At 41.6% G+C, this 21,549-nt stretch overlaps 1 protein-coding gene across 45 annotated transcripts in view; it reads left to right on the forward strand.

Annotated features, from left to right (window-relative positions):
• CCDC7 (coiled-coil domain containing 7) overlaps positions 1 to 21,549 on the forward strand; it is a 439,541-nt gene that overhangs the window by 253,417 nt on the left and 164,575 nt on the right. For 43 of the 45 annotated variants that reach the window (XM_047425743.1, XM_047425742.1, NM_001321115.2 and 40 more), the window contains one exon: positions 14,880 to 14,990. The exons of 1 other annotated variant lie outside the window; for it this stretch is intronic. In XM_047425743.1, the coding sequence (XP_047281699.1) occupies positions 14,880 to 14,990 (111 nt within the window). Of the gene's footprint in view, positions 1 to 390; positions 539 to 14,879; positions 14,991 to 21,549 lie in introns of those variants that run through there. One more of the 45 variants, XM_017016651.1, reaches the window with a different exon arrangement.

Below are 21,549 nucleotides of genomic sequence, written 5' to 3' on the forward strand. Positions count from 1 at the left end.
CCTTACCTAGATCATTGAGAAGTGTGTGCCCAATGACTATTTTTATGTTGCTGTCTCTGATAATCTCTTTTTGCTTTTTTGTAGCAGTTGCTTCTTCCATGCTGAGGAATTTGACATGTACAGGCCATTGCTTACAGTATCACAATAAATGAAAAAAATTATGATCTAGATCAGTGGTCCTCAACCTTTTTGCACCAGAGAAAGTGAACAAAATTAACATTTTTTGCATGGACCAGGGCTGAGGTGGGGGATGGTTTTGGGATGATTCAAGTGCATTACATTTATTGTGCACTTTATTTATATTATTATTACATTGTAATATGTAATGAAATAATTATACACCATAATGTAGAATGAGTGGGAGCCCTGAGCTTGTTTTCCTGCAATTAGATGGTCCCATGTGAGGCATGAAAGACAGTGACAGATCATCAGGCATTAGATTCTCATAAAGAACGCACAACCTGGAACCACCCAAGATGGCCGAATAGGAACAGCTCCAGGCTACAGCTCCTAGCATGAGCGACCCAGAAGATGAGTGATTTCTGCATTTCCAACTGAGGTACCGAGTTCATCTCACTGGGACTGGTTGGACAGTGGGTGCAGCCCACAGAGTGTGAGCCAAAATGGCAGGACATCGCCTCACCCAGGAAGCACTAGGGGTCAGGGAATCCCTTTCTTAGTCAAGGGAAGCCATGACAGATGGTACCTGAAAATCAGGACACTCCCGCCTTAATACAGCGCTTTTCCAATGGTCTTAGCAAAAGGCGCACCAGGAGATTATATCCTGCGCCTCGCTTGGCGGGTCCCACACCCATGGAGCCTTGCTCACTGCTAGCACAGCAATCCGAGATCAAACTGAGAGGTGGCAGCGAGGATGGGGGAGGGGCATCTGCCATTGCTGAGGCTTGACTAGGTAAACAAAGCAACTGGGAAGCTCGAACTAGGTGGAGCCCACCGCAGCTCAACAAGGCCTGCCTGCCTGTATAGACTCCACCTCTGGGGGCAGGGCATAGCTGAACAAAAGGCAGCGGAAACTTCTGCAGACTTAAACGTCCCTGTCTGACAGCTTTGAAGACAGCAGTGGTTCTCCGTGCATGGAGTTTGAGATCTGAGAATGGACAGACTGCTTCCTAAAGTGGGTCCCTGACCCCCCAGTAGGCTAACTGGGAGACATCTCCCAGTAGGGGCTGACTAACACCACAAACAGCTGGCAGCCCCTTTGAGACAAAGCTTCCAGAGGAAGGATCAGGCAGCAACCTTTGCTCTTCTGCAATATTATATTTGCTGTTCTGCAGCCTCCGCTGGTGATACCCAGGCAAACAGGGTCTGGAGTGGACCTCCAGCAAGCTCCAGCAGACCTACAGCTAAGGGTCCTGACTGTTAGAAGAAAAACTAACAGAAAGGAATGGCATCAATATCAACAAAAACAACATCCACAACAAAACCCATTTGTAGGTCACCATCATCAAAGACTAAAGGTAGATAAAACCACAAAGATGGGGAGAAACCAGAGCAGAAAAGTTGAAAATTCTAAACACCAGAGTGCCTCTTCTCCTCCAAAGGATCGCAGGTCCTTGCCAGCATCAGAAGAAAGCTGGACGGAGAATGACTTTGACGAGTTGAGAGAAGTAGACTTCAGAAGATCGGTAATAATAAACTTCTCTGAGCTAAAGGAGGATGCTCGAACCCATTGCAAGGAAGCTAAAAACCTTGAAAAAAAGATTAGAAGACTGGCTAACTAGAATAAACAGCATAGAGAAGACCTTAAATAACCTGGTGGAGCTGAAAACCATGGCACGAGAACTATGTGATGCATGCACAAGCTTCAGTAGCCAATTCAGTCAAGTGGAAGAAAGGGTATCAGTGATTGAAGATCAAATGAATGAAATGAAGTGAGAAGAGAAGTTTAGAGAAAAAAGAGTAAAAAGAAATGAACAAATCCTCCAAGAAATATGGGACTATGTGAAAAGACCAAATCTGCATTTGATTGGTGTACCTGAAAGTGACAGGGAGAATGGAACCAAGTTGGAAAACACTATTCAGGATATTATGAAGGAGAACTTCCCCAACCTAGCAAGGCAGGCCAACATTCAAATTCAGGAAACACAGAGAACGCCACAAAGTTACTCCTCGAGAAGAGCATCTCCAAGACACATAATTGTCAGATTCACCAAGGTTGAAATGAAGGGAAAAATGTTAAGGGCAGCTGGAGAGAAAGTTCGGGTTAACCACAAAGGGAAGCCCATCAGACTAACAGCTGATCTCTCAGCAGAAACTGTACAAGCCAGAAGAGAGTGGGGGCCAGTATTAAACATTCTTTTTTTTTATTTTACTTTAAGTTTTAGGGTACATGTGTACAACGTGCAGGTTTGTTACATATGTATACATGTGCCATGTTGGTGTTCTGCACCCATTAACTCATCATTTAACATTAGGTATATCTCTTAATGCTAGCCCTCCCCCCTCCCCCCACCCCACAACAGGCCTTGTGTGTGATGTTCCCCTTCCTGTGTCCATGTGTTCTCATTGTTCAATTCCCACCTATGAGTGAGAACATGTGGTGTTTGGTTTTTTGTCCTTGCCATAGTTTGCTGAGAATGATGGTTTCCAGCTTCATCTATGTCCCTACAAAGGACATGAACTCATCCATTTTTATGGCTGCATAGTATTCCATGGTGTATATGTGCCACATTTTCTTAACCCAGTCTATCATTGTTGGACATCTGGGTTGGTTCCAAGTCTTTGCTATTGTGAATAGTGCCACAATAAACATACGTGTGCATGTGTCTTTATAGCAGCATGATTTATAATCCTTTGGGTATATACCCAGTAATGGGAGTGCTGGGTCAAATGGTATTTCTAGTTCTAGATCCCTGAGGAATCGCCACACAGACTTCCACAATGGTTGAACTAGTTTACAGTCCCACCAACAGTGTAAAAGCTTTCCTATTTCTATACATCCTCTCCAGCACCTGTTGTCTCCTGACTTTTTAATGATCGTCATTCTAACTGGTGTGAGATGGTATCTCATTGTGGTTTTGATTTGCATTTCTCTGATGGCCAGTGATGATGAGCATTTTTTCATCTGTCTGTTGACTGCATAAATGTCTTCTTTTGAGAAGTATCTGTTCATATCCTATGCCCACTTGTTGATAGGGTTGTTTGTTTTTTTCTTGTAAATTTGTTTGAGTTCATCGTAGATTCTGGATATTAGCCCTTTGTCAGATGAGTAGATTGCAAAAATTTTCTCCCATTCTGTAGGTTGCCTGTTCACTCTGATGGTAGTTTCTTTTGCTGTGCAGAAGCTCTTCAGTTTAATTAGATCCAATTTGTCAATTTTGGCTTTTGTTGCCATTGCTTTTGGTGTTTTAGACATGAAGTCCTTGCCCATGCCTATGTCCTGAATGGTATTGCCTAGGTTTTCTTCTAGGGTTTTTATGGTTTTAGGTCTAACATTTAAGTCTTTAATCGATCTTGAATTAATTTTTGTATAAGGTGTAAGGAAGGGATCCAGATTCAGCTTTCTCCATATGGCTAGCCAGTTTTCCTAGCACCATTTATTAACTAGGGAATCCTTTCCCCATTTCTTGTTTTTGTCAGGTTTGTCAAAGATCAGATGGTTGTGGATATGTGGCATTATTTCTGAGGGCTCTATTGTGTTCCATTGGTCTATATCTCTGTTTTGGTACCAGTACTATGCTCTTTTGGTTACTGCAGCCTTGTAGTATAGTTTGAAGTCAGGTAGCGTGATGCCTCCAGCTTTGTTCTTTTGGCTTAGGATTGACTTGGCGATGCGGGCTCCTTTTTGGTTTCATATGAACTTTAAAGTAGTTTACTCCAATTCTTTGAAGAAAGTCGTTGGTAGCTAGATGGGGATGGCATTGAATCTATAAATTACCTTGGGGAATATGGCCATTTTCACGATATTGATTCTTCCTATCCATGAGCATGGAATGGTCTTCCATTTGTTTATGTCCTCTTTTATTTCATTGAGCAGTGGTTTGTAGTTCTCCTTGAAGAGGTCCTTCACATCCCTTGTAAGTTGGATTCCTAGGTATTTTATTTTCTTTGAAGCAAATGTGAATGGGAATTCACTCACGATTTGGCTCTCTGTTTGTCTGTTATTGGTATATAAGAATACTTGTGAGTTTTGCACATTGATTTTGTGTCCTGAGACTTTGCTGAAGTTGCTTATCAGCTTAAGGAGATTTTGGGCTGAGACAATGGGGTTTTCTAGACATACAAGGATGTCATCTGCAAACAGGGACAATATGACTTCCTCTTTTCCTAATTGAATATCCTTTATTTCCTTCTCCTGCCTGATTGCCCTGGTCAGAACTTCCAACACTATGTTGGATAGGAGTGGTAAGAGAGGGCATCCCTGTCTTGTGCCAGTTTTCAAAGGGAATGCGTCCAGTTTTTGTCCATTCAGTATGATATTGGCTGTGGATTTGTCCTGGATAGCTCTTATTATTTTGAGATATGTCCCATCAATACCTAATTTATTGAGAGTTTTTAGCAGGAAGGGCTGTTGAATTTTGTCAAAGGCCTTTTCTTCATCTATTGAGATAATCATGTGGTTTGATTTGCGTATGTTGAACCAGCCTTGCATCCCAGGGATGAAGCCCATTTGATCATGGTGGATAAGCTTTCTGATGTGCTGCTGGATTCAGTTTGCCAGTATTTTATTGAGGATTTTTACATCCATGTTCATCAGGGATATTGGTCTAAAATTCTCTTTTTTGGTTGTGTGTCTGCCAGGCTTTGGTATCAGGATGATGCTGGCCTCATAAAATGAGTTAGGGAGGATTCCCTCTTTTTCTATTGATTGGAATAGTTTGAGAAGGAATGGTACCAGCTCCTCTTTGTACCTCTGGTAGAATTCGGCTGTGAATCCATCTGGTCCTGGACTTTTTTAGGTTGGTAGGCTACTAATTATTGCCTCAATTTCAGAGCCTGTTATTGGTCTATTCAGAGATTCAACTTCTTCCTGGTTTAGTCTTGGGAGGGTGTATGTGTTGAGGAATTTATCCATTTCTTCTAGATTTTCTAGTTTATTTGCATAGAGGTGTTTATAGTATTCTCTGATGGTAGTTTGTATTTCTGTGGGATCGGTGGTGATATCCCCTTTATCATTTTTTATTGCGTCAATTTGATTCTTCTCTCTTTTCTTCTTTATTAGTCTTGCTCTAGCGGTCTGTCAATTTTGTTGGTCTTTTCAAAAAACCAGCTCCTGGATTCATTGATTTTTTTGAGGGTTTTTTGTGTCTCTATTTCCTTCAGTTTTGCTGTGATCTTAGTTATTTCTTGCCTTCTGCAAACTTTTGAATGTGTTTGCTCTTGCTTTTCTAGTTCTTTTAATTGTGATGTTAGGGTGTCCATTTTAGATTTTTCCTGCTTTCTCTTGTGGGCATTTAGTGCTATAAATTTCCCTCTACACACTGCTTTGAATGTGTCCCAGAGATTCTGGTATGTTGTGCCTTTGTTCTCGTTGGTTTCAAAGAACATCTTTATTTCTGCCTTCATTTCGTTGTGTACCTAGTAGTCATTCAGGAGTGGGTTGTTCAGTTTCCATGTAGTTGAGCGGTTTTGAGTGACTTTCTTAATCCTGAGTTCTAGTTTGATTGCACTGTGGTCTGAGAGACAGTTTGTTATAATTTCTTTGCTTTTACATTTGCTGAGGAGTGCTTTACTTCCAACTATGTGGTCAATTTTCGAATAGGTGTGGTGTGATGCTGAGAAGAATGTATATTCTGTTGATTTGGGGTGGAGAGTTCCGTAGATGTCTATTAGGTCCGCTTGGTGCAGAGCTGAGTTCAATTCCTGGATATCCTTGTTGACTCTCTGTCTCGTTGATCTGTCTAATGTTGACAGTGGGGTGTTAAAGTCTCCCATTATTATTGTGTGGGAGTCTAAGTCTCTTTGTAGGTCTCTAAGGGCTTTCTTTATGAATCTGGGTGCTCCTGTATTGGGTGCATACATATTTAGGATAGTTAGCTCTTCTTGTTGATCCCTTTACCATTATGTAATGGCCTTCTTTGTCTCTTTTGATCTTCATTGGTTTAAAATCTGTTTTATCCAAGACTAGGATTGCAACCTCTGCCTTTTTTTGTTTTCCATTTTCTTGGTAGATCTTCCTCCATCCCTTTACTTTGAGCCTATGTGTGTCTCTGCACGTGAGATGGGTTTCCTGAATACAGCACACTGATGGGTCTTGACTCTTTATCCAATTTGCCAGTCTGTGTCTTTTAATTGGAGCTTTTAGCCTATTTACATTTAAGGTTAATATTGTTATGTGTGAATTTGATCCTGTCATTATGATGTTAGCTGGTTATTTGCTCGTTAGTTGATGCAGTTTCTTCCTAGCATTGATGGTCTTTACAATTTGGCATGTTTTCGCAGTGGCTGGTACTGGTTGTTCCTTTTCATGTTTAGTGCTTCCTTCAGGAGCTCTTTTAGGGCAGGCCTGGTGGTGACAAAATCTCTCAGCACTTGCTTGTTTGTAAAGGATTTTATTTCTCCTTCACTTATGAAGCTTAGTTTGGCTGGATATGAAATTCTGAGTTGAAAATTCTTTTCTTTATGAATGTTGAATATTGGCCCCCACTCTCTTCCGGCTTGTAGAGTTTCTGCCGAGAGATCCGCTATTAGTCTGATGGGCTTCCCTTTGTGGGTAACGCGACATTTCTTTCTGGCTGCCCTTAATATTTTTTCCTTCATTTCTACTTTGGTGAATCTGACAATTATGAGTCTTGGAGTTGCTGTTCTCGAGGAGTATCTTTGTGGCATTCTCTGTATTTCCTGAATTTGAATGTTGGCCTGCCTTGCTAGATTGGGGAAGTTCTCCTGCATAATATCCTGCAGACTGTTTTCCAACTTGGTTCCATTCACCCCTTCACTTTAAGGTACACCAATCAGACGTAGATTTGGTCTTTTTACATAGACCCATATTTCTTGGAGTCTTTGTTCATTTCTTTTTATTCTTTTTTCTCTAAACTTCTCTTCTCACTTCATTTCATTCATTTGATCTTCCATCACTGATACCCTTTCTTCCAGTTGATCGAATCAGCTACTGAGGCTTGTGCATTCGTCACGTAGTTCTCGTGCCTTGGTTTTCAGCTCCATCATGTCCTTTAAGGACCTCTCTGCATTGGTTATTCTAGTTAGACATTCGTCTAATTTTTTTTCAAGGTTTTTAACTTCTTTGCCATGGGTTAGAACTTCCTCCTTTAGCTCTGAGTAGTTTGATCATCTGAAGCCTTCTTCTCTCAACTCGTCAAAGTCATTCTCCACCCAGCTTTGTTCCATTGCTGGCGAGCAGCTGCGTTCCTTTGGAGGAGGAGAGGTGCTCTGATTTTTAGAATTTTCCATTTTTCTGCTTTGTTTTTTCCCCATCTTTGTTATCTACCTTTGGTATTTGAGGATGGCGACGTACAGATGGGGTTTTGGTGTGGATGTCCTTTCTGTTTGTTAGTTTTCCTTCCACAGTCAGGACCCTCAGCTGCAGGTCTGTTGGAGTTTGCCGGAGGTCCACTCCAGGCCCTGTTTGCCTGGGTGTCAGCAGCGGAAGCTGCAGAACAGTGGATATTGGTGATCAGCGAATGTTGCTGCCTGATCGTTCCTCTGGAAGTTTTGTCTTAGAGGAGTACCCAGCTGTGTGAGGTGTCAGTTTTTCCCTACTGGGGGGTGCCTCCCATTTAGGCTACTCAGGGGTCAGGGACCCACTTGAGGAGGCAGTCAGTCCATTCTCAGATCTCAAACTCCATGCTGGGAGAACCACTACTCTCTTCACAGTTGTCAGACAGGGACATTTAAGTCTGCAGAGGTTTCTACTGCCTTTTGTTTGGGTATGCCCTGCCCCCAGAGGTGGATTCTACTGAGGCAGGCAGGCCTCCTTGAGCTGTGGTGGGCTCCACCCAGTTCGAACATCCCAGCCGCTTTTTTTAGCTACTCAAGCCTCAGCAATGGCAGGCGCCCTTCCTCCAGCCTCACTGCTGCCTTGCAGTTTGATCTCAGACTGCTGTGCTAGCAATGAGTGACGCTCCGTCAGTCAGTGTAGCACTCTCCGAGCCAGGCGCGGGATATATTCTCCTGGTGTGCCATTTGCTAAGACTGTTGGAAAAGCGCAGTATTAGGTTGGGAGTGACTCGATTTTCCAGGTGCCATCTGTCACACCTTTCCTTGGCTAGGAAAGGGAATTCCCTGACCCCTTGCACTTCCCGGGTGAGGCGATGCCTCGCCCTGCTTCGGGTCCCGCTCAGTGCGCTGCGCCCACTGTCCTGCACCCACTGTCCGACAATGCCCAGTGAGATGAACCCGGCACCTCAGTTGGAAATGCAGAAATCATTCGTGTTCTGCATTGCTCATGCTGGGAGCTGTAGACTGGAGCTGTTCCTATTCGGCCATCTTGGCTCCCCAATATTAAACATTCTTATAGAAAAGAATTTTCAACCCACAATTACATATCCATCCAAACTAAGCTTCATAAGTGAAGGAGAAATAAAATCCTTTACAGACAAGCAAGTAGTGAGAGATTTTGTCGCCACCAGGCCTGCCTTACAAAAGCTCCTGAAGGAAGCGCTAAACATGGAAAGGAACAACTGGTACCATCCACTGCAAAAACATGCCAAATTGTAAAGACCATCGATGCTAGGAAGAAACTGCACCAACTAACGAGCAAAAGAACCAGCTAACATCAAAATGACAGGATCAAATTCACACATAACAATATTAAACTTAAATGTAAATGGGCTAAATGCCCCAATTAAAAGACACAGACTGACAAGTTGGATAAAGAGTCAAGACCCATCAGTGTGCTATATTCAGGAGACCCATCTCACGTGCAGAGGCACACATAGGCTCAAAATAAAGGGATGGAGGAAGATCTACCAAGAAAATGGAAAACAAAAAAAGGCAGAGGTTGCCATCCTAGTCTCTGTTAAAACAGACTTTAAACCAACAAAGATCAAAAGAGACAAAGAAGGGCATTACATAATGGTAAAGGGATCAATTCAACAAGAAAAGCTAACTATCCTAAATATGTGTGCACCCAATACAGGAGCACCCAGATTCATAAAGAAAGCCCTTAGAGACCTACAAAGAGACTTAGACTCCCACACAATAACAATGGGAGACTTTAACACTCCACTGTCAACATTAGACAGATCAACGAGACAGAAAGTTAACAAGGATATCCAGGTCTTCAACTCAGCTCTGCACCAAGCGGACCTACTGGACATCTACAGAACTTTCCACCACAAATCAACAGAATATGTATTCTTCTCAGCACCACATCGCACTTATTCCAAAATTGACTACATAGTTGGAAGTAAAGCACTCCTCAGCAAATGTAAAAGCAAAGAAATTATAACAAACTGTCTCTCAGACCACAGTGCAATCAAATTAGAACTCAGGATTGAGAAACTCTTTCAAAACTGCTCAACTATAGGGAAACTGAACAACCTGCTCCTGAATGACTACTGGGTAAATAATGAAATGAAGGCAGAAATAAATATGTTCTTTGAAACCAATGAGAACAAAGACACAACATACTGGAATCTCTGGGACACATTTAAAGCAGTATGTAGAGGGAAATTTATAGCACTAAATGCCCACAAGAGAAAGCAGGAAAGATCTAAAATCGATACCCTAACATCACAATTAAAAGAACTAGAGAAGCAAGAGCAAACACATTCAAAAGCTAGCAGAAACCAGGAAATAACTAAGATCAGAGCAGAATTGAAGGAGATAGAGACACAAAAAACCCTTCAAACAATCAATTAATCCAGGAAATAGTTTTTTGAAACAGTCAACAGAATAGATAGATGGCTAGCAAGACTAATAAAGAAGAAAAGAGAGAAGAATCAAATAGACGCAATAAAAAATGATAAAGGGGATACCACCCATTATCCCACAGAAATACAAACTACCATCAGAGAATACTGTAAACACCTCTACACAACTAAACTAGAAAATCTAGAAGAAATGGATAAATTCCTGGACACATATGCCCTCCAAAGACTAAACCAGGAAGAAGTTGAATCCCTGAATAGTCCAATAACAGGCTCTGAAATAGAGGCAATAATTAATAGCTTAGCAACCAAAAAAGGTCCAGGACCTGATGGATTTACAGCCGAATTCTACCAGAGGTACAAAGAGGAGCTGATACCATTCCTTGTGAAATTATTCCAATCAGTAGAAAAAGAGGGAATCCTCCCCAACTCATTTTATGAGGCCAGCATCATCCTGATACCAAAGCCTGGCAGAGACACAACAAAAGAAGAGAATTTTAGACCAATATCCCTGATGAACATCGATGCAAAAATCCTCAATAAAATACTAGCAAACAGAATCCAGCAGGGTATCATAAAGCTTATCCACCATTGCTAAGCCGGCTTCATCCCTGGAATGCAAGGCTGGTTCAACATACACAAATCAATAAATGTAATCCATCATATAAACAGAACCAAAGTCAAGAACCACATGATTGTGTCAATAGATGCAGAAAAGGTCTTTGAGAAAATTCAACAGTTGTTCATGCTAAAGACTCTCAATAAATTAGGTACTGATGGGACGTATCTCAAAATAGTAAGAGCTCTCTATGACAAACCCACAGCCAATATCATACTGAGTGGGCAAAAACTGGAAGCATTCCCTTTGAAAACTGGCACAAGACAGGGATGCCCTCTCTCACCACGCCTATTCAACATAGTATTGGAAGTTCTGGCCCGGGCAATCAGGCAGGAGAAGGAAATAAAAGGTATTCAATTAGGAAAAGAGGAAGTCAAATTATCCCTGTTTGCAGATGACATGATTGTATATTTATAAAACCCCATCGTCTCAGCCCAAAATCTCCTTAAGCTGATAAGCAACTTCAGCAAAGTCTCAGGATACAAAATCAATGTGCAAAAATCACAAACGTTCCTACACACCAATAACAGACAAACAGAGAGCCAAATCATGAGTGAACTCCCATTCACAATTGCTTCAAAGAGAATAAAACACCTGGGAATCCAACTTACAAGGGACGTGAAGGACCTCTTCAAGGAGAACTACAAACCACTGCTCAATGAAATAAAAGAGGATACAAACAAATGGAAGAACATCCCATACTCATGGGCAGGAAGAATCAATATCGTGAAAATGGCCATACTGCCCAAGGTAATTTATAGATTCAATGCCATCCCCATCAAGCTACCAATGACTTTCTTCACAGAATTGGAAAAAACTACTTTAAAGTTCATATGAAACCAAAAAAGAGCCCGCATCGCCGAGACAATCCTAAGTCAAAAGAACAAAGCTGGAGGCATCACGCTACCTGACTTCAAACTATACTACAAGGCTACAGTAACCAAAAGAGCATAGTACTGGTACCAAAACAGAGATATAGACCAATGGAAAAGAATAGAGCCCTCAGAAATAATACCACACATCTACACCCATCTGATCTTTGACAAACCTGACAAAAACAAGAAATGGGGAAAGGATTCCCTATTTAATAAATGGTGCTAGGAAAACTGGCTAGCCATATGGAGAAAGCTGAATCTGGATCCCTTCCTTACAACTTGTACAAAAATTAATTCACATGGATTAAAGACTTAAATGTTAGACCTAAAACCATAAAAACCCTAGAAGAAAACCTAGGCAATACCTTTCAGATCATAGGCATGGACAAAAACTTCATGACTAGAACACCAAAAGCAATGGCAACGAAAGCCAAAATAGACAAATGGGATCTAATTAAACTGAAGAGCTTCTGCACAGCAAAAGAAACTACCATCAGAGTGAACAGGCAACCTACAGAATGGGAGAAAATTTTTGCAATCTACCCATGTGACAAAGGGCTAATGTCCAGAATCTATAAGAACTTAAACAAATTTACAAGAAAAAATCAAACAACCCCATCAAAAAGTGGGCGAAGCATATGAACAGACACTTCTCAAAAGGAGACATTTATGCAGCCAAAAAACACATGAAAAAATGCTCATCATCACTGGCCGTCAGAGAAATGCAAATCAAAACCACAATGAGATACCATCTCACACCACTTAGCATGTTGATCATTAAAAAGTCAGAAAACAACAGGTGCTGGAGAGGATGTGGAGAAATAGGAACACTTTTACACTGCTGATGGGACTGTAAACTAGTTCAACCATTGTGGAAGACAGTGTGCCAATTCCTCAAGCATCTAGAACTAGAAATACCATTTGACCCAGCACTCCCATTACTGGGTATATACCCAAAGGATTATAAATCATGCTACTGTAAAGACAACGTGCACACGTATGTTTATTGCAGCATTATTCACAGTAGCAAAGCTTGGAACCAACCCAAATGTCCCTCAGTGATAGACTGGATTAAGAAAATGTGGCACATATACACCATGGAGTACTATGCAGCCATAAAAAAGGATGAGTTCATGTCCTTTGTAGGGACATGGATGAAGCTGGAAACCATCATTCTCAGCAAACTATCGCAAGGATAAAAAACCAAACACCACATGTTCTCACTCATAGGTGGGAATTGAACAATGAGAACACTTGGACACAGGAAGGGGAACATCACACACCGAGGCCTATCGTGGGTGGGGGGAGGGGGGAGGGATAGCATTAAGAGATATACCTAATGTAAATGACAAGTCAATTGGTGCAGCACATCAACATGGCACATGTATACATATGTAATAATCCTGCACGTTATGCACATGTACCCTAGAACTTAAAGTATAATAAAAAAATAAATAAATAAGAAAACTAACCATAAAAATAAAACCTAGATCTTTCAGATGTGCAGTTTACAATAGGGTTTGTGTTCCTATGGAAATCTAATGCCACTGGTGATCTGACAGGAGGCAGAGCTCAGGCAGTAATGTGAATGATGGGGAGCAGTTGAAAATACAGATGAATCTTCGCTCACTCACCCACTGCTCACCTACTGCTGTGTGACCCGGTTTCTAACAGGCCAGAGACCAGTACTGGTCATGGCCTCGGTGCTGGGGACCCCAATCTAGATTATTTCACTGACCAATTTGCCTGACCTTAGAGGAGGATTAATTTTAATTTGGCTCCATAACCAGTAGGAGTGACACTTATAACCCTAGAAATCTGAGACTTGTTAAAAATCTTATCATTGACTGCTCTCACTCTCGTCATTGACTGCTCTCACTCTCAAGCAAGAGACCAAGGGATCACCAGTATGGTTTGTGGGTCTGTATAGCCAGATAAATCTGAAAATGTATTTTAGTCATAGGGAAGAGAGCATGGGTTTGCCAAAGTTGTCAGAACCCAAATAGAACCCAGTTGAAAAAGAAGGGCTTGGGTGTTCCCTTCTCATTCTCTGACTTTGCTTATCCTCCTTGAGCAAAACCTATTCTGTCATGACACTCTAAAGGAGGGGTTTTATAGTGACACAGCCCACAAGGTACCACTAAGTTAGTTTACCAAGATTACCTCATTCATCATGCAGGCAAATAATCCATGCCTCTAAATTCTCCTAGATCACACAGGAAAGCAATCCCAAAGGGCTCTCCATTCGTTTTATTTAAACCATGAGTCTCAATCCCTTGCTGGGTCATAAGCTGTCTGTCATTGCCTGGTACCTCTTTAGAACTAAGAGCTGTTATTGATGCAAATCAGCTCGCAGGTTCTCTGAAAACTTTCAGTCTCATCTGCAGGGGACAATAGCAGTGGCCAAGGAATTGCTTCTCTAGCTTTCTCAGAGGCCGTCTGTTGGATCTCTAATTTGCCCCACCAGGCATCTTTGCCTGAGAGTCTAGGCCTAAAGAGGAGGACCACTGGTGTCCCTCAGAACCAAAAAGCTTATGTAAACAATCCGCTAGCATTCTCTGAGAGTGCCCCATGGTGTTGGACAGCACTTTCTAAGACCCACTGATAGGGCTGGCAGAGTGCACCATGGGACAGTCAGACTCTTGCAAATGATCCACTAGTATCCCCCAAGAGGTCTCAACTCTAGCATCTCCCACAAATGCCCTGGGGATCTGCATGCTTTTTGCTTTTCCAGAAAGGCATTGTGCTTAATTGACCACCCTGCTCACAGTCATTTGTTACCAGGGGAGCTGCCAAGTGTGAAGGTGGTCAATTAAGATAGCAAGCGAGATTGAAGGTAACAATTAAGCCTTTATTCACTTACTGCAACAACATAAGCAAGAGTGTAAACATGGAAGGTCACTGACTCCATTAATGTTACATTTTCCCACAAAAAGACATTGGGCAAAGGTAGGATGTATCAGCATAGATGGGAGGGTAACTTCTCACTGTATGTACAGCCATGTGTACCATATCATAAACCATATATATTCATCCACACATAGATACACATAATTATATACCATAATTGATATTATACCATTGTTTCTGGTGTGTGTGTGTATATATATATAAATATATATATACATACACACATATACATGTATATATGCATGTGTGTATATATATACATATAACTGTGTGTGTGTGTATATATATATGTTCATTCAGCCAGTCTCCTGTGCTTAAAAATCTCAATGGTTTTGAATACTTTGCAATTACAAATAATGCTGTAATGAATGACCTTGAACATATGCATTTTCATTGTTTGGTCTATGATTATGTATTAACCTAAAGTATAAATAACTTAAGGAAAGTAGAGACTAATATAAAACACATTTAATATCTAGGAATATTTATGAAATAATAATACATCTTCAACATACATTGAAACTTTTCTCACCATTTTCATGTCAGAGCTAGCATTAAGGTAGTTTACTTATAACTTTATAAGATGAAAGAAAATGTTGCTTCCACTTGTTATAAATTTGAACTCTAGGATTTCATAGTAGATTTGTTTTTCTAGTAAGGGACTAAATTTCTCTCTTAACATAGCTCATGATGAAGAATCAGGTGAAAATCCTATGCTTAAACATCAAGATTCAGTGTCAAAAATCCAAGTGCAATTAGAGATTCAAGAAACTTCTGAAGGAGAAGGACGTAGCAGTAAGTATAATGATGATAGCTATTTTATATTATTTTAAGTAAATCTCAAAAGAACTTTTTTCTTTGGTTCATACTTACGTATTTGAGAACATATATTTTATTGATAATTTATACTCTGTAAATACTCTAACATAACTCAAGAAAGAAAACAAAGATAATGATATGTTTTGGTTAGAATTTCTTGTCGTAATATTATTACACAACTTAATTTATGCTCTCAGTATCCATCTCAGGACAATAATAGGCCAATAATTGTCTCACAAAAGATGGGTACCTCTCATCTGCTGCTGGCCATTTATGGGCACCTCTGATCTGTTGTAGTCCCAGTCAGTAGGCAGAAGTATTGCCGAGATCTGTAACTGAAGCAACAAATGGAAATCAGAGAGGTACAAGGGCAGCCAGGGTGGCCAGTAGAAGGATTTCCAGGGTATCATGCTGGTCAAGGCCCCATTCAAAGGTAGTGGTCTTTATGGTAACCTGATAGAGGATGCTGTCTGATCTCTGTGGCTTGAATGTGAGCATGGCAGCAGATGAATGGTCCCATTTATTGCTCACATTATTTTTACTTTTCGAGTCAGAGCTGGCCAAAAGCATCGACAATCATCATCTCTGGAATGGAGCACCATAGCCTTTACAGATTACACCATAGCCTTTACGGATTACACCCAGGAATTTCACTTGGGTTTTAGGTCCTTGTGCCTTTTCCAATGATAATGGCACAGTACATGCTGCACGTGGGTGAACAGAGCATCTGGTTCCTTTTGGGTAGTGTCCTTGTCTGAGCTCACTAGGATGATTTCATAAACAGTTCAGAAAGTTAATGCTTCTTCCAGGAGTGGAACTTTGTCCAGGTCATAACCTATGCATTGATACAGATAGTTGGGGAATTTTGGAAGCCTTGTGGAAAGATATTAGTGGTTTATTGTAACCTATCCTACATAATTCTAACTAATCCTGATCATCCTCTTGGAGAGGAATGCTGAAAGGACATTTGCTATGTCAATTGGTACATACCAAGTTCCTTCATCCTGGACAACAGCCTCTGTAACTGTCACAATGTCAGGTTACCATTGGTGCCAAAGGTAGCACTTATGCTTTTTAGAACCCTTATCAGTACAGAGTTTAGGCACCTGAGGTCTTTCACATAGGCCAGATGAGTCTATTGAATACAGAAATAGTGTACAGATAGTTGGGTTCTTAAAGCTTGGCAATGAGGGAAATTATTCCCTTTTTTATCCCCAGAGTGTTAATACTGGTTTTGGTAGACATTGGTACTACGTGCCAGTAGTTTGGTAGGTCATGATCTTCCACATATCCCACGAAATACCTGGACTGCAGCAAATCCCATCAGGAGGTGGGTGTAAATGCTAGTGTTGGTTCATATAGAAAATGTATTTAACTAGTAATATATTCAGTAGTAGAGGCCATGACAATAGGGGTTTATAGTGGCCCAAAGGGATCTACCCCATAGTTGGTTTAGAAAGAGGTCCTGTTTGTGGTGACCTCAGATTAAAAACTAGAAAGAATTATTTGTTTCCTCCTCGTCCTCATGTCAGGGATTGTGAGGATCACAGTAATTTGTTGACCAGTATCCAAAAGGCCCAAGAAATGTCATTTTTTCCCACCCCCACTTCAAACTTTGTCCTAGGTGTAGGTCCTCAGTTCCCCACTGGGGACCTAGGGACCTTGTACTAACCCCTAGTCATGCTTATTTGTGAAAGATGAGAGATCTGGGTAAAAGTAGGAAGGGTCTGTATGTTAGATCCCACAATGTATCACTCTAAATTTCATAAGATTACTTCCTTCATCAAGGAAGCAAACTACTCAAGTCTCAAGATTCACTGAGAGGGTTAGAGAAAATAGCACTCATACTGTTCATAGTGGACATCACCATATGGACCTTAGTGCCTGGTGGGACCACCATGGCTCACTATCTATTGGGGGGCCCATCAATCCTACTCCTTTGAGACCCTGTTGTTTGGTGACCAATCTCATAGATCTCCTCTAGAAGGCCATTGCCTGGATTGAGCAGCAGAGGGCACATGATTGCCATTTTTTTGCCACTCTTTCCATTGGCCAGTGTTTGCTATCTGGGCAGCAGCCACGTTTTCCATGCTCAAGATTTGCCAGTTAATATCTGGACTATATCTGATTGACATGACCTTAGGAGGAGGTTTGATAACCAGCAGAATTGAAATAACTGAATCTAGAAATCTGAGTCTGGTCAACAATCTTATCATCTGTTCTTTTCACTCTCACTGTGCAACCAAGGGACTATCAGCGTGGCTGGCCAGGATACTGTAAGAAGCCCTTTGTTGGTTCTCTAATTTGAACCACTGTGGGAGTTTGGTTAGAAAACTGGGGGCTATATTCCCAGGCAAGATGGCCAAATAGGAACAGCTCCAGTCTGCAGCTCCCAGTGATACCAATGCAGAAGGTGGGTGGTTTCTGCATTTCTAACTGAGGTACTCGGTTCGTCTCATTGGGACTGGTTAGAAAGTGGGTGCAGCTCAAGGAGGGCGAGCAGAAGCAGGGTGGGGCATTGCCTCACCCAGGAAGTGCAAGGGGTCAGGGAACTCCTTCCCCTAGCCAAGGGAAGCCGTGAGGGACTGTGCCATGAGGGACAGTGCCATCTGGCCCAGATACTATGCTTTTCCCACAGTCTTCGCATCACGCAGACCAGGAGATTCCTTTGGGTGCCTACACCACCAGGGCCCTAGGTTTCAAGCACAAAACTGGGCAGCTGTTTGGGCAGACACCAAGCTAGTTGCAGGAGTTTTTTTCATAACCCAGTGGCACATGGAATGCCAGTGAGACAGAACCATTCGCTCCCCTGGAAAGGGGGCTGAAGCCAGGGAGCTGAGTGGTCTTCCTCAGTGGATCCCACCCTCACAGAGCCCAACTGAGATCCACTGGCTTGAAATTCTCGCAGCCAGCACAGCAGTCTGAAGTCAACCTGGGATGCTCAAGCTTGGTGGGGGGAGGGGTGTCGCCATTACTGAGGCTTGAGTAGGTGGTTTTCCCCTCACAGTGTAAACAAAGCTGCTGGGAAGTTCGAATTCGGTGCAGAACCCACCACGGCGCAGCAAAGCCACTGTAACCAGGCTGTCTTTCTAGATTCCTCCTCTCTGGGCAGGGCATCTCTGAAAGAAAGGCAGTAGCCCCAGCCAGGGGCTTATAGATAAAACTCCCATCTCCCTGGGACAGAGCATCTGGGGGAAGGGGTGGCTGTGGGCGCAGCTTCAGCAAACTTAAATGTTCCTGACTGCTGGCTTTGAAGAGAGCAGCAGATCTCCCACACAGTGCTCAAGCTCTGCTAAGGGACAGACTGCCTCCTCAAGTGGGTCCCTGACCCCAGTGCCTCCTGATTGGGAGACACCTCCCAGCAGGGGTCAACAGACACCTCATACAGGAGAGCTCCAGCTGGCATCTGGCCGGTGCCCCTCTGGGACAAAGCTTCCAGAGGAAAGAGCAGGCAGCAATCTTTACTGTTCTGCAGCCTCCGCTGGTGATACCCAGGCAAACAGGGTATGGAGTGGACCTCCAGCAAATTCCAGCAGACCTGCAGAAGAGGGGCCGGACTGTTAGAAGGAAAACTAACAAACAGAAAGCAATAGTATCAACATCAACAAAAAGGAAACCCACGCAAAAACCCCATCTGAGGGTCACCAACATCAAAGACCAAAGGTAGATAAATCCATGAAGATGAGTAAAAACCAGTGCAAAAAGGCTGAAAATTCCAAATGCCAGAATGCCTCTTCTCCTCCAAAGGATCACAACTCCTCGTCAGCAAGGGAATAAAACAGGAGAGAGAATGAGTTTGACAAGCTGACAGAAGTAGGCTTCAGGAGGTGGGTAATAACAAACTCCTCTGAGCTAAAGGAGCATGTTCTAACCCAATGCAAGGAAGCTAAGAACCTTGGTAAAATGTCACAGGAACTGCTAACTAGAATAACCAGTTTAGAGAAGAACATAAATGACCCGATGGAGCTGAAAAACACAGCACGAGAACTTTGTGAAGCATACACAAGTATCAATAGATGAATCAATCAAGTGGAAGAAAGGATATCCAAGATTGAAGATCAACTTAATGAAATAAAGCATGAAGACAAGATTAGAGAAAACAGGATGAAAAGGAACCAAGAAAGCCTCTAAGATATATGGGACTATGTGAAAAGACCAAACTTAACGATTCACTGGTGTACCTGAAAGAGACGGGGAGAATGAAACCAAGTTGGAAAACATGCTGCAGGATATTATCCAGGAGAACTTCCCCAAAATAGCAAGACAGGCCAATATTCAAATTCAGGAAATACAGAGAACACCACAAAGATACTCCCCGAGTAGAGCAACCCCAAGACACATAATTATCAGATTTACCAAGGTTGAAATGAAGGAAAAAATGTTAAGGGCAGCCAGAGAGAAAGGTCAGGTTACCCACAAAGGGAAGCCCATCAGACTAACAGCAGATCTCTCTGCAGAAGCCCTACAAACCAGAAGGGAGTGGGGGCCAATATTCAACATTCTTAAAGAATTTTCAACCCAGAATTTCATATCCAGCCAAACTAAGCTTCATAAGCAAAGGAGAAACAAAATCCATTACAGACAAGCAAATGCTGAGAGAGAATTTTCACCACAGGCCTGCCTTACAAGAGCTCCTGAAGGAAGCACTAAATATGGAAAGGAAAAACTGGTAGCAGCCACTGCAAAAACATACCAAAATATGAAGACCAGTGACATTGTGAAGAAACTGCATCAACTAATGTGCAAAATAGCCAGTTAACATCATGATGACAGGATCAAATTCACACATAACAATCTTAACCTTAAATGTAAATGAGAAAATGCCTCAATTAAAAGACACAGACTGGCAAATTGGATAAAGAGTGAATACCCATTGGTGTGCTGTATTCAGGAGATCCAATTCATATGCAGAGACACACATAGCCTCAAAATAATGGGATGGAGGAATATTTACCAAGCAAATGGAAAACAGAAAAACCCAGGGGTTGCAATCCTAGTCTCTAATAAAACAGATTTTAAACAAACAAAGATCAAAAAAGACAACGAAGAGCATTACATAATGGCAAAGGGATCAATGCAACAAGAAGAGCTAACTATCCTAAATATATATGCTCCCAATACAGGAGCACCCAGATTCATAAAGAACGTTCTTAGAGACTTAGACTCCCACACAATAATAGTGTGATACTTTAACATCCCACTGTCAATATTAGATCAATGAGACAGAAAATTAACAAGGATATTCAGGACTTGAACTCAGCTCTGCACCAAGTGGACCTAATAGACATCTACAGAACTCTCCACCCCAAATCAACAGAATATACACTCTTCTCAGCACCACGTCGCACTTATTCTAAAATTGACCACATAATTGGAAGCAAGTTATAACTCCTCAGCAAATGCAAAAGAATGGAAATCGTAACAATCTCTCAGACCACAGTGCAATCAAAGTAAAACTCAGGATTAAGAAATTCACTCAAAATCAGACAACTACATGGAAACTGAACAACCTGCTCCTGAATGACTACTGGGTAAATAACGAAATGAAGGCAGAAATAAGTGAATTCTTTGAAACCAATGAGAACAAAGACACAATGTACAAGAATCTCTGGAACACATTTAAAGCAGTGTGTAGAGATAAATTTATAGCACTAAATGCCCACATGAGAAAGTGGGAAAGACCTAAAATCCGTACCCTAACATCACAATTAAAAGAACTAGAGAAGGATGAGCAAATTCAAAAGCTTGCAGAAGGCAAGAAATAACTAAAATCAGAGCAGAACTGAAGGAGAGAGAGACACGAAAAACCCTTCAAAAATAAATGAATTCAGGAGCTGTTTTTTTGAAAAATTTAACAAAATAGATAGACCACGAGCCAGACTAATAAAGAGGAAACGAGAGAAGAATCAAATAGACACAATAAAAAATGATAAAGGGGATATCACCCCTGATCCCACAGAAATACAAACTACCATCAGAGAATACCGTAAACACCTTTATGAAAATAAACTAGAAAATCTAGAAGAAATGGTTAAATTCCTGGACACATACAGCTTTCCCAAGACTAAACCAGGAAGAAGTTGAATCCCTGAATAGACCAATAAGAAGTTCTGAAATTGAAGCAGTAATTAATAGCCTACCAAAAAAAAAAAAAAAAGCCCAGGGCCAGACAGATTCACAGCTAAATTCTACCAGAGGTATAATCAGGAGCTGGTACCATTTCTTCTGAAACTATTCCAAACAATAGAGAAAGAGGGAATCTTCCCTACTCATTTTATGAGACCAGCAGCATCCTGATACCAAAATCTGGCAGAGACACAAAAACAACAACAAAAATTCAGGCCAATATCCCTGATGAACATCGATGCGAAAATTTTAAATAAAATACTGGCAAACAGAATCCAGCTGCACGTTAAAAAGCTTATCCACCACGATCAGGTCAGCTTCATCCCTGGGATGCAAGACTGGTTCAACATATGCAAATCAATAAATGCCATCAGTCACATAAACAGAACCAATGACAAAAACCACATGA

Source organism: Homo sapiens, chromosome 10, assembly GCF_000001405.40.
Source record: "Homo sapiens chromosome 10, GRCh38.p14 Primary Assembly".
Lineage (NCBI taxonomy): Eukaryota > Metazoa > Chordata > Mammalia > Primates > Hominidae > Homo > Homo sapiens.